This window comes from Homo sapiens, chromosome 9 (assembly GCF_000001405.40).
Source record: "Homo sapiens chromosome 9, GRCh38.p14 Primary Assembly".
In the NCBI taxonomy this organism is placed as follows: domain Eukaryota; kingdom Metazoa; phylum Chordata; class Mammalia; order Primates; family Hominidae; genus Homo; species Homo sapiens.
Window position 1 is genome coordinate 94907743 of NC_000009.12, and position 13094 is coordinate 94920836.

The following is a 13094-nucleotide window of genomic DNA, read 5'->3' on the forward strand; positions in this document are numbered from 1 at the left end:
CATGTCCCTCTCAACAGCTGACCAAGGTGCAGGCAGCTAGCTAGCTTTGTGAAGGCAGCGTGGCCTACAGGGTGGGCTACCCTGCAAATTTAAGGGCAAGATTAGTCCCCAGTCTTCGCTGGGCCTCTTTCCTCATTTGCTCTCTGGAGGTGGAGGTTACTCTAAGTGCCCTTCAAATTCCTTTCCAGCTCTATTCTTTGAACTGCTGGTTTCTTCCTTTCCAACTTATGGAAATTATTTTCCTCACTTTTCCTGAGAGGGGAAGTATAAGACACCAGGCTGTCTCTGACAACTGCCAAAGTGGCCGTTTTTTAATGGAAAGTCAGCTTCCTTCTCAGGTTGCTTAACAGAGCAGAAGCTTCTCGAGAACAGAGAAGCCTAATGTTTCCCTCTGGTTTTTTGACGTCAGTTGCCTGTGGGTGGGTTCCCATCCGCTGCCACCTCTCCAACCACACTAAATTTTATTGCGCAGATTTTAAAAACACACCTTGGTGTGGCAGGCCACCGAAAGAAGCGATTTAGCCCAGGAGCCCTGCTGTTAAGCTGTGGCAGAGAGAGCTTTGGTCCAGTCTCTGACTGTGCCAGGATCCCATCCCACAGAGTAAATCCTCCATCCTCCCCTTGTTGGCCCCTCACCAATAAAAGCGGAATGTTCACTTTACACTATCTCCTGGGGGATTTGAAGAATCAATTCTGAACACTGACTTGAAAGCACTTATCCCTCTAAGAGTATAAGAAGTGGGGAAGGGAAAAGGGAGCTAACATTTGTGGGATGTTTGCTGCGTGCCAGGTACTGGGCTGGCTGCTTGACTTTCATTCTTTCCTTTAACTCTGCTTTGTAATCATCATACACAAAACCGTCAAATGGTTTAGGCTGCTGAGAGTCTAAAGCTTATCAAGAAGACAGTGACCATGCAGAGGTAGAGAGGGGAAACCAGACCTCCCATAAACCCCCAGGAAGCTAAATATCTTTGGCATACTTGACACCACCCATGCAAAGTTTAAAAATCTAATTATGTCCATTTGCAATGCACAGATAAGGGGCACTGGAAATATATTCACCAATACAAATATGTTGGTGCTTTCAAATGTCAGAAGAGTTCAGCCGAGTGCTGCAAATCTCGTCACTGATAAATAACAGACATGTTCATCTTATTCCAATATTTTCCTTTCTAACTTAAAAATAACTTTGTCATTTCTCCTAGTATGTTTTGAGGTGATTAGTCTTAAAATGTGTCATAGGTGGTAAATTCAGGAGAACTGAACTTGGCCTCCAAAATAAGCAATGTTCCCCATGACATTATGGAATAAAAACACACACTTGCTTTGGTTTTGCCTGGTTTGAGGCTTCGTAACGTGAGCAGCGTTCACAGTGAGTCCGTGAATGGAAATCACGCCACACAGGAGCTGTGACTCAGGCCTGTTCTCCGAAGGGGTGAGGTGATGGCTATTAATATTTAATTTCATATACTGTAGTGTTTGCAGAAGCAAACATGCTGTAGTTAAGGTTACGCGCATTGAGCGTCAGCATAATCCAGTTTTTCTTTCCGCCAGGCTTTTTTCACACAGATGTGTTCAACCCAAAGGTGAATTTTTGGAGCCTTAAAAAAAAAAAAAAAAAAAAAAAGAATGAGAAAATTTGAAAACAATTAGGTAAACCATTATGGTTATACAACTGTGAAAAGATGACAGCTTTTATACTTAGAAAATAGTATGAAATGTTTTCTTTTCTTTGTTTGTTGTTATTTTCCTCTCACATGAAACTGGTCAACCAACCACCAAAACAAAGAAAAGGAACGATGAGGCTGAAACTTAAGGGTAGCCATTTGTCAGCAGAAGTAAAGGCCAAGTATTCCCAGAGAGAAGGCATCGCAGTCAACTGCTGTGACGTGTGTGACGTCCATCTCAAAAGCCTGTGTGAATGTAACTACACAGGGTGGCATACGCTGATGTCTGCCCTAGATCCCCACAAGCCTCTAGCTTGGGGTGAGTCACCAGTTTCAGGCAAGGGGTGTCTGTTGGTTCTGAGGTGACTGGGCCTTTGTAAAAGAGCTTTGAAGGAAATACCTTGCAGACTTAAACGGCTGTCATGAGTCCGCCATGGCACACAGCAGCTCCCACCCCATGGATGAAGGCTGCAGCTCGCTGGGTCTTGCTTTCTCATCTGAGAATGGGAGGGGGTGGGGCCTCTAAGAGCCCTTCTGGATCGAGTGTCTGGGGATTCCAGAACCAGCCCCACTCCTTCCCAAGGTTCAGCGCTAGCACATCCATACTCCCCAGACTGTCTCCCCCATTTCGGTTGCGGCAAGACTGCTGTGAGCCAGAGCTATGCAGGCGTTTGAATCGCGGGTCCCTGCCTAGATGGACACTTCTTCCCCTTAACTAGTTTTCTCCCTGGCAGCCCTCCGTCCATTCTCACCTTTCCTCCTCACCTCTAGTCCTGCATTAGAAGCAGCCGGTTCTCCTTCCCAGAGCCCTCCCTGGCAGATTGTGAACCGACTAGGCCATGCCTCTTCACCTGTGGAGAGTGGCTCTGAAGCAGGGTACTCTCTCTTACCCTGGGCCCTGCACTCCAGTGCAGAAGCATCCAGCACCTGTGGCAGACTGGTCATCTGAAACCTTGCTACCCGGGTAGGACCCCAGCTTCCTTGTCCTCTGGCTTCCGAGCGAGGACTGGGTCTCGGGCAGCCTTGCAGCACGCAGCACATCAACCGCGGATCTTCTTGGGCTCCCTCAAGGGTGGGACCTAATGCTACTCCAGTCTCCCTGCTGTGGGCACGCCTCTGCCTTTGCTGTTGACTTGAGGATGTGCTTTTAACCTATTGCACCTGGCTTCACACTGAGTGGGCAAAGGACAGAGGGCCCACTGGTCGAGGGTCCAGCTCTTTCGGAGGACAGCAGGACGTCTTTTGCCCCAGGGCCATCCTCTGCACTTTTATATGATGAGGTGCAGCAGTGTTTCTAATTCTCTGTTGCTTGAGAAGTATGGACATTTCCCTAGATCTTTTGGCAGTTCCTAACACATCTGCAGAGAAGGATCTTGGGGGAGGGGCCAGTCTATTAGGATGAGCCATATGAAATTGCCCATTTTTTGAAGTTGGAAAGGGTCACTTATTGCATTTTATGTAGTTCAACTTAAAGGTCAAAAAGGTGGAGGAATGTCTGGGCCTCCTCGTGATGTTATGTTTACCTAATAAGCATCCTGGGGTTTTGCCTAGGGTTTATGATACAGTATCTGTGTCTATAGCAAAGAGTATTATTGTAGATACTGTCATTACTACTTAAGGTATTATCACTACTGCTACTTGAGCTCACTTTAGAAACAATTGATAGAGATAGAGGGAAGACTGTCTATCCCCTGGAAGACCCCAGTACCTCAGTCCTGGGCCCTGGTCTTTCCCTTTGGAACTAGTGGTTTAAAATGAGCTCTCCTTTACCTCCATTCTTGTCTTCCCTGCTTTGAAACAGGACACCTCTGGCCAGTGGGCTTCCTTTTGGAGATAAGAGATGTTGGGTGATCAATGGCCTCAGACAATGTAGCTGTCACAGTTTCATTTTTAAAATGTCATGGTGATAAAAACAGCCATTTGCTAATAAAAAGGGTGGGATTCATTGCCTAGTGGCATTCACATCCATGCTGTCATTGTCTAACCCAGATTTCTCAGAGCAGCCACTGGCTTGGTGTCGTAGCTGAATGATGTCACTTCAAGCATCACGTAATTTTCCAGCTGGCTAGGATGGAAAAGGGGTTTATTATTGTGGCATGTTTTTCACAGCGTCTGAAAAAAAGTGAAGCAGACAGGGATATATGACAGGATTGGTTCTGTTTTTACAGGTGTGTCTGAAGCATACAAGGTACCTTTCACTTGCAATAGAAATGTGACTCTATGGCAAAAGAAATTTTTTAAAAAAAGCTTTTCTCAAGAGATTTTAAATATATAATACATAATTAGTGTTGGAAATTGGCCTCGAATACATTAAACTCAAAAGACTAGGAGGTGGGCTGCCCAGACCCTGGTCTCAGTTCTGTCCCTACTGACAGAGCTCTAACTTCATCTTTGCCTCAGTTTCTCCATGGAAAAGATGGACCTCCCAGGGTATTTGTCTGTTTTTAACTTTTCATTGCAGTGTAAAACAGAAAAGTATACATCTTAGCATACAGCTTGTTGGATACAAACTGTAGACATCCCTGTCACTAGCACCCTGACCAAGAAATGCACATAACCAGCACTCCAGAAGACCCCTGTGCCCCTTCCAGTCAACCACACACACAAGGACTTCCAGCAGCATAGATTTCAGCCCAGTGAGACCTGTGTCCGACTTCTGACCTGACGAGCTGTAAAATAATAAATTTGTGTTGTTTTAGGCCACCGTACTTGTGGTGGTTTGTTGCAGCTGCCCTAGGAAACCAATGCACTGATGCTGCTGGCAAGAGGGAGAGCCAGGAGTTGACCCCCAGCTCTGTCCCCAAAGACCGAGTTCTTAAAAACCACTAGAATAGATAGTACCGCTCTTAGCTTTGTTAGGTGTTTGGTCATTGGTGAGGGTATGAAGGTAAAATGAAAGTGCAAGTGCCAGCCAGCGTGCAGTTAAGTTGGGTACTAGGTAGCCAGTGTCTTTGAGGTACTCTGACTTGCCCAGCCCCCGACCCCCATGCTCAGAATGTCCCCTGCCTGGAAAGAAGGAATGTGATATGTTACTAACACTTCAGTGTGAGTTGAGTGCGTTATCTCTTCCTAAAGTATTTGCGTTCTAAAAGATGACCTAAGTGATGACTTTCTGCTATTTATGAGAAAGAGGGCTACACTACGGTGCCATGGCTGACCGTGTGAGACCCAATTCCTTGTCCATCTTCCACTACAGAGTCAGAAAACACCAAAAAGCATCTTTCCCATGCTGCCTTAACAGCTAGCAGAGACTAAAGAGTAGGAATCTCGGCTATGGGCTCCCTGGGAAAAGTTGCTTTCCTGATGAAAGGGATCGTTGTTGCTGGCACAGCGCGTTTCTTCCATGTTAAACACGAACATGGTGCATGAAGGTGTAGTGGTCAACCCGTGAGCATGAGGGGCAAGCATGAGGAAAGAAGTGCACACAGGAAGGATGGAGAGTGGGAGTATAGCAAGTCCTCCAGCTCCCGCTGCACTGCCAGTCACTGCACCAGCCCCAGCAAGGTCTTGTCACTCCAGTGATATTGTTTCAAGAAAGGAAAAACCTCTCCAGTGTGTGCCAGTGTTCATTGTATTTTTTGTTACTTGCAGCTGAATACATTCCAAACAGACCCGGGTGCCTTTCAGATCACAAAAAGGTAACCACCTAGGAATGGGGACATGGGCAGGCAGAATTCTTTAGAATGAAAGGAATTCCTGGGATCCTTGCCCACATTTTCACCACGGTGAACACATGCAAAGAATGATGAGTCAAGGGAACCATCCAGAGAAATGGGATTGAGCTGTAGATATCCAATAAACCTGATGCATTCCATTTGGGGAGAAGAAATAGAAGGCTCATAATTTTAAATGGAAAGGTTAGTTAAAATCAGGAGACTTTGGAGAGACTTTGGAGAGACTTTTATTTGTTTATTTTTGTTTCTGGTGAGGTTTATTACCTTTCAGAGGGACATGCTGTTAAGTTGAATACCTCTGAGGATGACCATCTGTCACATATTTTCCAGGACCACCCTGGGAAATAAGAAGGATATTGTCTCCTTATCTCGACAAGCGTGCCATGGTGGTCTATCCATGGAGTCATAATTTGAGATTAGGAAATATGCTGTTATTCTTAAAAGTTCAATTATTTATGAATCCCCAATAGCCAGGTGATCCCTTATACTTAGTGGCATTTATTGATGCAGATGAGTACTTTGAAAAATTAAGAGAGACATTTACTTTTTAAGCTACCACTAAGACGGTCTCTGACCGGATAAAGATAACTTGAGCAGGCGAATTTGTTTAACAAAGGTGGTGACATATATTGTGGCAGCTGAATGCCCCCTTACAGCCAAGGGAGAACAATCAGTGAATTCATTCGTTTAATTCATGAATTTTCCTTCTATTTACACTTTAAACAAACATGCCAGTTGTTTGCTTAGTTAACAAGCTCTGCCTTCATTATAAGCCATTAGTGGCTAGTAATAACTGAAACTGTGTTTGGATTTCACAAATACAATAAACCCAATTAATTTCACCCTTAGTAATATGGAATTTGTCTGATCAACCTGAGCTAGGCAGAAGTTTGTGTCTTTGCCCTTTGCATGAAGGGTTTGCTAAATCATCTTATAGCCATAAATAGGAATTCTTCATAAGAAAAACTAAACAAAACAGCTTAAATCCTAATGCTTCTAAGGGGCCAGGCAGCAATATAAATTAGTGAATGGGTTGGATAGAGCATCCTCTAAGAAACACTTGGTCTACTTTTGATGGAGACATGGATGTAAGAAATATTTCACTTTTTAATCCTGTGATAAGAAGGAAAAAAACCACACACATGATTATAAATGACAAGGAGGCTCAGCCAATGGCAGGGAGACGGGAGGGAGAAGTTGGGACCACAGCAAACTGGAGAGCCCAAGCCCTGTCTGAAAGGACCAGCTCCGATTCAGCTGCAGTTACTACATAAGAATGCAGGCCTGTGATGAGGGACTCCAAAGCAGGTTTTGCCTGCTTCTCGGATTTCACCAGGATGAATCATAACAGGGACCTGATAAAATCCTATCTTTGAAATGCTCTGTAATGCTTATTATTGTTCTTAGGAAATGATAAAATATTGCCCTTTGGCATTAGACGTGTGTGTGTGTGTGTGTGTGTGTGTGTGTGTGTGTGTATGTACAGGATAAATATGTGCCCACTTCTAAAAAAGACCTGGGCCTAGTGTGGCCACATCTTTCAAATTTTTAATGTAATGTCAAAATCTGGATTTCTGGATAAAATCTTCCCATTTATAAACTTTGGCAATGAGTTTTTGCTATTTAAGCTGATGCTGTGCAGCCACCACAGTGCAGATCAGCAGCTCTCAATGTGGTCTCTGGACCAGCCACATTAGCATTACCCGGGAACTTCACAGAAATGCAGGTTCCTAGGCCCTACCCAGGCCTACTGAAACAAACTCTCTTGGGGTGAGGCCCAGAGATCTGTTTTAACAAGCCTTTCAGGTAGGGCTGCCAGCTTTTAGCAAATATTTCATGGAACATACACCAAAAAATTATTCGTTGTTTATCTGAAATTCAAATTTGAGTACGTGTGCTGTTTTCTTATCTAGCGGACCTACCTCCCGGTGCTTCTGATACCCGCTGGTGTTGATCAAGCAAAACATGTGTATGAGCCAGGCTGCTTGTGTTTGAATCTGCTTTGACACATATTAACTCTGGGATTTTAGGCAAGTGACATAATTTCTGTGTGGCTTGGTTTACTTACATGTAAAATAGGCACGATAATAATTTCTTCCTCATGGGGTGGTTGCTGGAATTGAATGAGTTAACGAACATAAAATACTTAGAACTTTGCCTGGGAGAAAATAAACAATATATGTGTTTAGTATCATCATTTTATTTTTTCTTTTCTTTCTGCTCTAATCATCACCGCTCCTGCCACCACGCAGCCATCAGGGAATATGAGAACTCATCTTCCTTCAATTCTTTTTTCCTGGATCTAACTTTGATTTAGCAGAATTGATTCTAACGTGCTATTCCCCAAGGCCACTCTGTTGCTTGTTCCTACCCAGAGTTACCCTTCCTTTGAAATCTGGTTGACAGTATGGCGGTCTGGCAGGGAACCCGCTCTTGCCTCCACCCCGACGTCCTGCTGCCTGACCAGAGTTACCCTTGCTTTGAAATCTAGTTGACAGTGTGGTGGTCTGGCAGGGAACCCACACTTGCCTCCACCCCAATGTCCTGCTGCCTGAACTCTGTCAGCCGGCAGTGCCTCTGTTGCGCTCAGGCCTCTTGTTGTACAGACCAGCCTTGCTACTTCGTGTCTGCTTTCACCAGCCCAGCAGGGCAAGTCAACAGCTTCCTGACCCTACCTTGGATTTTCAGATTTGCAGAGGGCCTGACTGGGGCTTGGCTTCTTGCTGTCAGTTGGGGAAACAATGAATGCCTTCCTCACCAATTGAATTCTGAGTACACTTTAGGAAATCCCCACAACTTTTTCCAGACAAGGAACATGGGAAGATTTGATTTGTGGACCCAAAGAGTGTATTTCAAAGCAAAGCAGTCACCAAACTGTCCTTGCTGAGAATGGCTGCAAGCTGCCCCAACGTGTCCCTCCATAAAGCAGCCCTCCAGGCCTCCACACCGCCACACGGGACAGACTTGTGCTCGCTGTGAAAACCACCAGGATGAGCTATTACGGCTCTCAGTTGTGCCATTTTATTGCTGTTCTGGAAATGGAGCAAAACACATTATTTTATTAAATAAAGATTTTCCCTGTATCACAGTGGAGGCTAATTTTATTAGCTCTTTTTATGGGAACAAACATCATCGCCCTGATTGGGGAGGACGGAGGTGGGGGCCGTGGGGAGGTGAGGGAGTGGAATCACATTTTGTCATCTGCGTGCTCCAATGAGGCTGCCGACATGTTTTAGTTGGTTACTCACATTAATTACTTACTTACCAGAAGAGTTCCCCAGATCCTGCAGAAAATACACAGCTTTCATTCATAAGTAATTTATAGATGATTCAAAAGACATGTTCAGGGCCAGGCTCATGCCTGTAATCCCAGCACTTTGGGAGGCCGAGGCGGGCAGACCATGAGGTCAGGAATTCAAGACCATCCTGGCCAACATGGTGAAACTCCCGTCTCTACTAAAATACAAAAATTAACTGGGCATGGTGGGGCACACCTGTAGTCCCAAGCTACTCGGGAGGCTGAGACCAGAGAATTGCTTGAACCCGGGAGGTGGAGGTTGCAGTAAGCGCCAGTGCACTCCAGCCTGGGCAACAGAGCGAGACTCCCTCTCAAAAAAAAAAAAAAATTAAATAAATAAATAAATAAATAAATAAAGACATGTTCAGTTACAATAAATATTTGTTCATATTGTGTGGGTATGGGTGTGTCCCCTGACAACCAAAATCTATAGTCTCCAAAATGTATAACTAAATGAACAGAATGTTCAAAATTTGTTCAAAAACAAATTTTTTGTTCTCATCTATGAGATTCTGGAATGTTTAAGGCAGAACATGTACTGTCACATTGAGAGAGGGAAAGGAGTCCAAATCTAGTTGAAAAACTGAATAAAATACTGTTTCTCCCTCTGATTCTTTAGCTTTGAAACCTGAGACTTTCACATGCAGCTTTTTTGATGACCATAACCGGCAGAACCTGCCCCCACCCCACCCCCAGGCTAAGGCAGAGCAGCTGAGGCAGGTGAGGCCAACTCCTGAGAGTCAGACAGCAGTGCTGCCCTGTTCCGTATGCAGGGCTGAGGTCTCCACAACGTTCTCTCGGGATGTGTTGCCCTGGGGTCAGAAGGGATGTATCCGCTGCTCTGCTGGTCAGTAGCTGAGCCTTCTGTATGGTCTGCAGAGCTGCCACTGAGCCAGAGGTGGTCTCTGTGTTTCCTAGACTCAAGGTGGTCTCCATGTTTTGTCGTTGCCATGCTGTTTTTCCTGCTAGCAATAGGCCACAGCTAACGCTAAAGCAAATGGTGAAGCTGGCTACAGTGTTTTGTGTCCCCAGCCTCCCCTTCCGCCCTCATGCCTCTCTCCTCCCCAGTGTCGTCTGTGCTGTGTTTTGGAGCCTTTCCCTGGCCCCCATGAGCACCCACCTTGAACCTTGCTAGGATCCAGGTATCTGTCATTTACATCTCCATGTGACATGAAACCATAAGCCTCCTCTGAGAGCACTTAGAAGTTAAACCAGATCATAAAGCTGGAGCTCCTAGCCTTGGCATCGTTGTTTGCTTCCCTGACGTAGCTGCCCACTGCCCTATAGTATCACTGCTACTTCCCTAACCTCAGTTTCTCTCTCCTTCATCTTGTTAGCTGCCTCCCCAGCTTGTCTTCTGCATCCTTCCCTTTGTTGTCTGTCCTTCCTATTTTCTCTGTCTCCCTCCTTTTGTTACCTATATCTGCTACCCTCAGCCTGTTGGCCTCTTTTGTAATGAGCTTCCTTCGTCTTATTTTCTTCCCTCATCTTTCTATCTGCTTCCTTCATCTCCATCTTTATTTCCCTCATCTGCTCCCCCAGCTCCTTTCTCTGCTTCTTTCCTTGTCTACTTCCCTCATCTTTTTATCGGTTTCCCCATCTCATTCTCTACGGCCCTAATTTTGTTATCTTCTTGCCTCCTGTAGCTCTTTGAGTTTGTGACCTGCTTTAAACCATCTCTACTTGAAAAGAATACCAGGCTTTAGCAAATATAGGTGAGAGGTGGAGATCAGGGAGAGGTAGACTTGTGTGTCACCCTCCTGGGGACTGACCTAAGTACCTTTGTAAGGGCTTGTCTAACACATGCCCCTGTGACCCACTGGGGACTCCCAGCGTAGGACAGGGTTATGAGGAAGTAGGCATTGCTCTTCAGGGGCATCAACAGTGGAGTAGTGATGCCCCCCTATGGCCTCTGTACCCTTATTTCTTACCTTCCTTTCACTAGGAGGAGGCCTGCTCACCTTGGGCCAGTTCTGGCTATGATGTAGATTGAGGGAACAGAGGTCTCAGGACGTGGTTGATAGCTTCCCATTGGTGCCTCCTGAAGACAGAGCTCCTGGGAGAGTAGTGAGCATGAAGCCCATGGGCTTGAGCTGGCACAGAGGGACGGGAGCCCAGAAGCCACAGGTCTAAACCCAGTGACACTGGGCAGAGTGGATCAGAGTGAGGCTTTAGAGTCCAGACTGTGTGAGCTCCAGTCCTGGCTCTATTGCTTGCCAGCTGTGTGACCTTGGGCTAGTCAGTCTGCCTCTCTGTACCCACTTTCCTCACGTGTAAAATGAGATAATGAAATTGAATAATAGTAACATCCTGAGGTTGTGGGGTAGAGCAATGAGATGGCATGTGTAAAATACAGTGCCTGGCACGTAGCAAACACTGAGCAGTCAGTCTTCAGAAGGAGAAGATGTTTGGGTACAAGAATAAGGAATGTGGCCCTGGGGCTTTCCTCAGTCTCTCTGCCGTAGTCACATTTGAGTCAAAATTCATTTAGGCAAATGAGTGGATGTTTTACTATTTTTTTTTTTTTTAATTTTAATTTTGTTGTTGTTGTTGAGTCGGAGTCTCGCACTGTTGCCTGGGCTGGAGTGCAATGGTGCAATCTCGGCTCACTGTAACCTCCGCCTCCCAGGTTCAAGCCATTCTCTTGCTTCAGCCTCCTAGTAGCTGGGATTACAGGCACCTGCCAGCACACCTGGCTAATTTTTTATATTTTTAGTACAGACAGGGTTTCACTATGTTGGCCAGGCTGGTCTTGAACTCCTGACCTTGTGATCTGCCCACCTCAGCCTCCCAAAGTTTTTCAGAATTTTTAAGAAAACACTTCTAACCTTAAGCCTTTCTTTCAAACTCAGATCCCCTTACACATTGATCAGACGTAGCAAGTTTGCTTCAAGTTTTTGGAACTGGTTTCCACTTTAGGCTACTGAAGGTCCCATATCCCCAGAAGACTATCCCCTCATCTCCTCAGCCTCCCGTTTAAAGATACACACTGCAGTCGGGTGGGTGCCAGATGAGGAAAGCGGAAGATGCTGATTCCCTCCCACGCAGTCTCAGGGCCAGAGGGAAGGAGGGTCCTGCCAGGCTGTCTGGGCCACCCCCCCACTTTGGCTTCAGGACTACAGAAGCATCTCCTACGTTAGGCTGCGTCCAGGAGAGAGGGACTAAGGGATTTCGTTTAGAAGAAGGGGCAGGGGCTGAGAGTTCGGCTTGTAAATGTGTAGGCGAGAGTGTTGACATACATCACTTCACACCTGATGAAGGAAAGAGAAGACAGGCTATGAACCTAAGAGGGGTGGAGCGACAGTTTGTCTCCCTTTCAGATGGCCCCAGGCTACTACGAGTCTACGGTTTCACTTGTCCAGTTTAAATTAGCAAGTAATGAAGTCACACAAGCAGAAGCTGCTGCTCATGATTATAAGACCCTTAGAACTATCTATCCTGCTGGACTTTAGAGGGCAATGAGCCTGGTTCCCCCCTCTCTCGGGTCTTCCTTTGTCTCTATCATGGGATATTGGGCTGCACATGTTGAAATTGTGAAAAGCGTTGAATCCATAAGAAGTACCAGCTTGATAAATGTAAGTCTGTATGATGCCTCCCAAGGATCTGTGTGAAAAGTAAACTTGCGGCCAGGCGCAGTGACTCATGCCTGTGATCCTAGCACTTTGGGAGGCTGAGGTGGGCGGATCACCTGAGGTTGGGAGTTTGAGAGGGGGCGGGCGGATCACCTGAGGCTGGAGTTTGAGACCAGCCTGACCAATATGAAGAAACCCCATCTCTACTAAAAATACAAAATTAGCAGGGCGTGGTGGCGCATGCCTGTAATCCCAGCTACTCAGGAGGCTGAGGCAGGAGAATCGCTTGAACCTGGGAGGCTGAGGTTGTGGTGAGCTGAGATCGTGCCATTGCACTCCAGCCTGGGCAACAAGAGGGAAACTCCGTCTCAAAAAAAAAAATGTAAACTTGCTCTCCATGAGGGGAATTGGGGTCTGCTCCCGTAAAATGGGAGGGGTGGCCTGGGGGCTCTTCTTGTCCTTAAGGGCAATCAATTTCCCGTCCTCTGGGTTCCTTCTACCCCTGCAGCCTGCTGGAACCTGCTGTGGCAGCAGCATCTAGCCAGGGCCGCCAAGTGCTGGGTCGCTCCACCCACAGCAAGATGGGCCGTGCTGGTCAGGGCTCCACGGAAAAAGCACAAATAAATCAAACACCAGCTCCTACTTAAGATCTGATGAAATTCTCCATTTCCGCTCCAAATTGAATTCCTCCCGAAGGATGGGAGCAGCTCCTGGGAGTAATGAAGGCACTCCTTCCTCCTCTGCTAGAAACATGTTTTAGATTAACAGACGCAGTCTTCTAATCTGGGTGGGTAGGTAGTGTTCAGGAACAGCCTTGAGAAAGTGTTTTCAGACCAGACATGATATTTTTAATCTCGAGGGGCAAGGCGGCAGACATGCAATA

The 13094-nt window shown here is 46.2% G+C and overlaps 1 protein-coding gene across 50 annotated transcripts in view, besides 3 other annotated features; it reads left to right on the forward strand.

Annotated features, from left to right (window-relative positions):
• The window catches only part of AOPEP (aminopeptidase O (putative)), a 423526-nt gene that overhangs the window by 181044 nt on the left and 229388 nt on the right, over window positions 1-13094 (forward strand). The gene's annotated exons all lie outside the window — the stretch shown is intronic.
• Window positions 2920-3089: an enhancer, noted in NCBI's record as "experimental_110431 CRE fragment used in MPRA reporter constructs". NCBI's record gives its function as "activates a minimal promoter by MPRAs in K562 erythroleukemia cells, with activity observed for both the introgressed and non-introgressed 9:97673029 variant alleles {active_cell/tissue: K562}" and the evidence as "EXISTENCE:reporter gene assay evidence [ECO:0000049][PMID:34662402]".
• Window positions 8791-9291: an enhancer, noted in NCBI's record as "H3K27ac hESC enhancer chr9:97678815-97679315 (GRCh37/hg19 assembly coordinates)". NCBI's record gives its function as "activates a minimal SCP1, AML or CMV promoter by ChIP-STARR-seq in naive H9 embryonic stem cells {active_cell/tissue: H9 hESC(naive)}" and the evidence as "EXISTENCE:reporter gene assay evidence [ECO:0000049][PMID:30033119]".
• Window positions 10389-10890: an enhancer, noted in NCBI's record as "H3K4me1 hESC enhancer chr9:97680413-97680914 (GRCh37/hg19 assembly coordinates)". NCBI's record gives its function as "activates a minimal SCP1, AML or CMV promoter by ChIP-STARR-seq in naive H9 embryonic stem cells {active_cell/tissue: H9 hESC(naive)}" and the evidence as "EXISTENCE:reporter gene assay evidence [ECO:0000049][PMID:30033119]".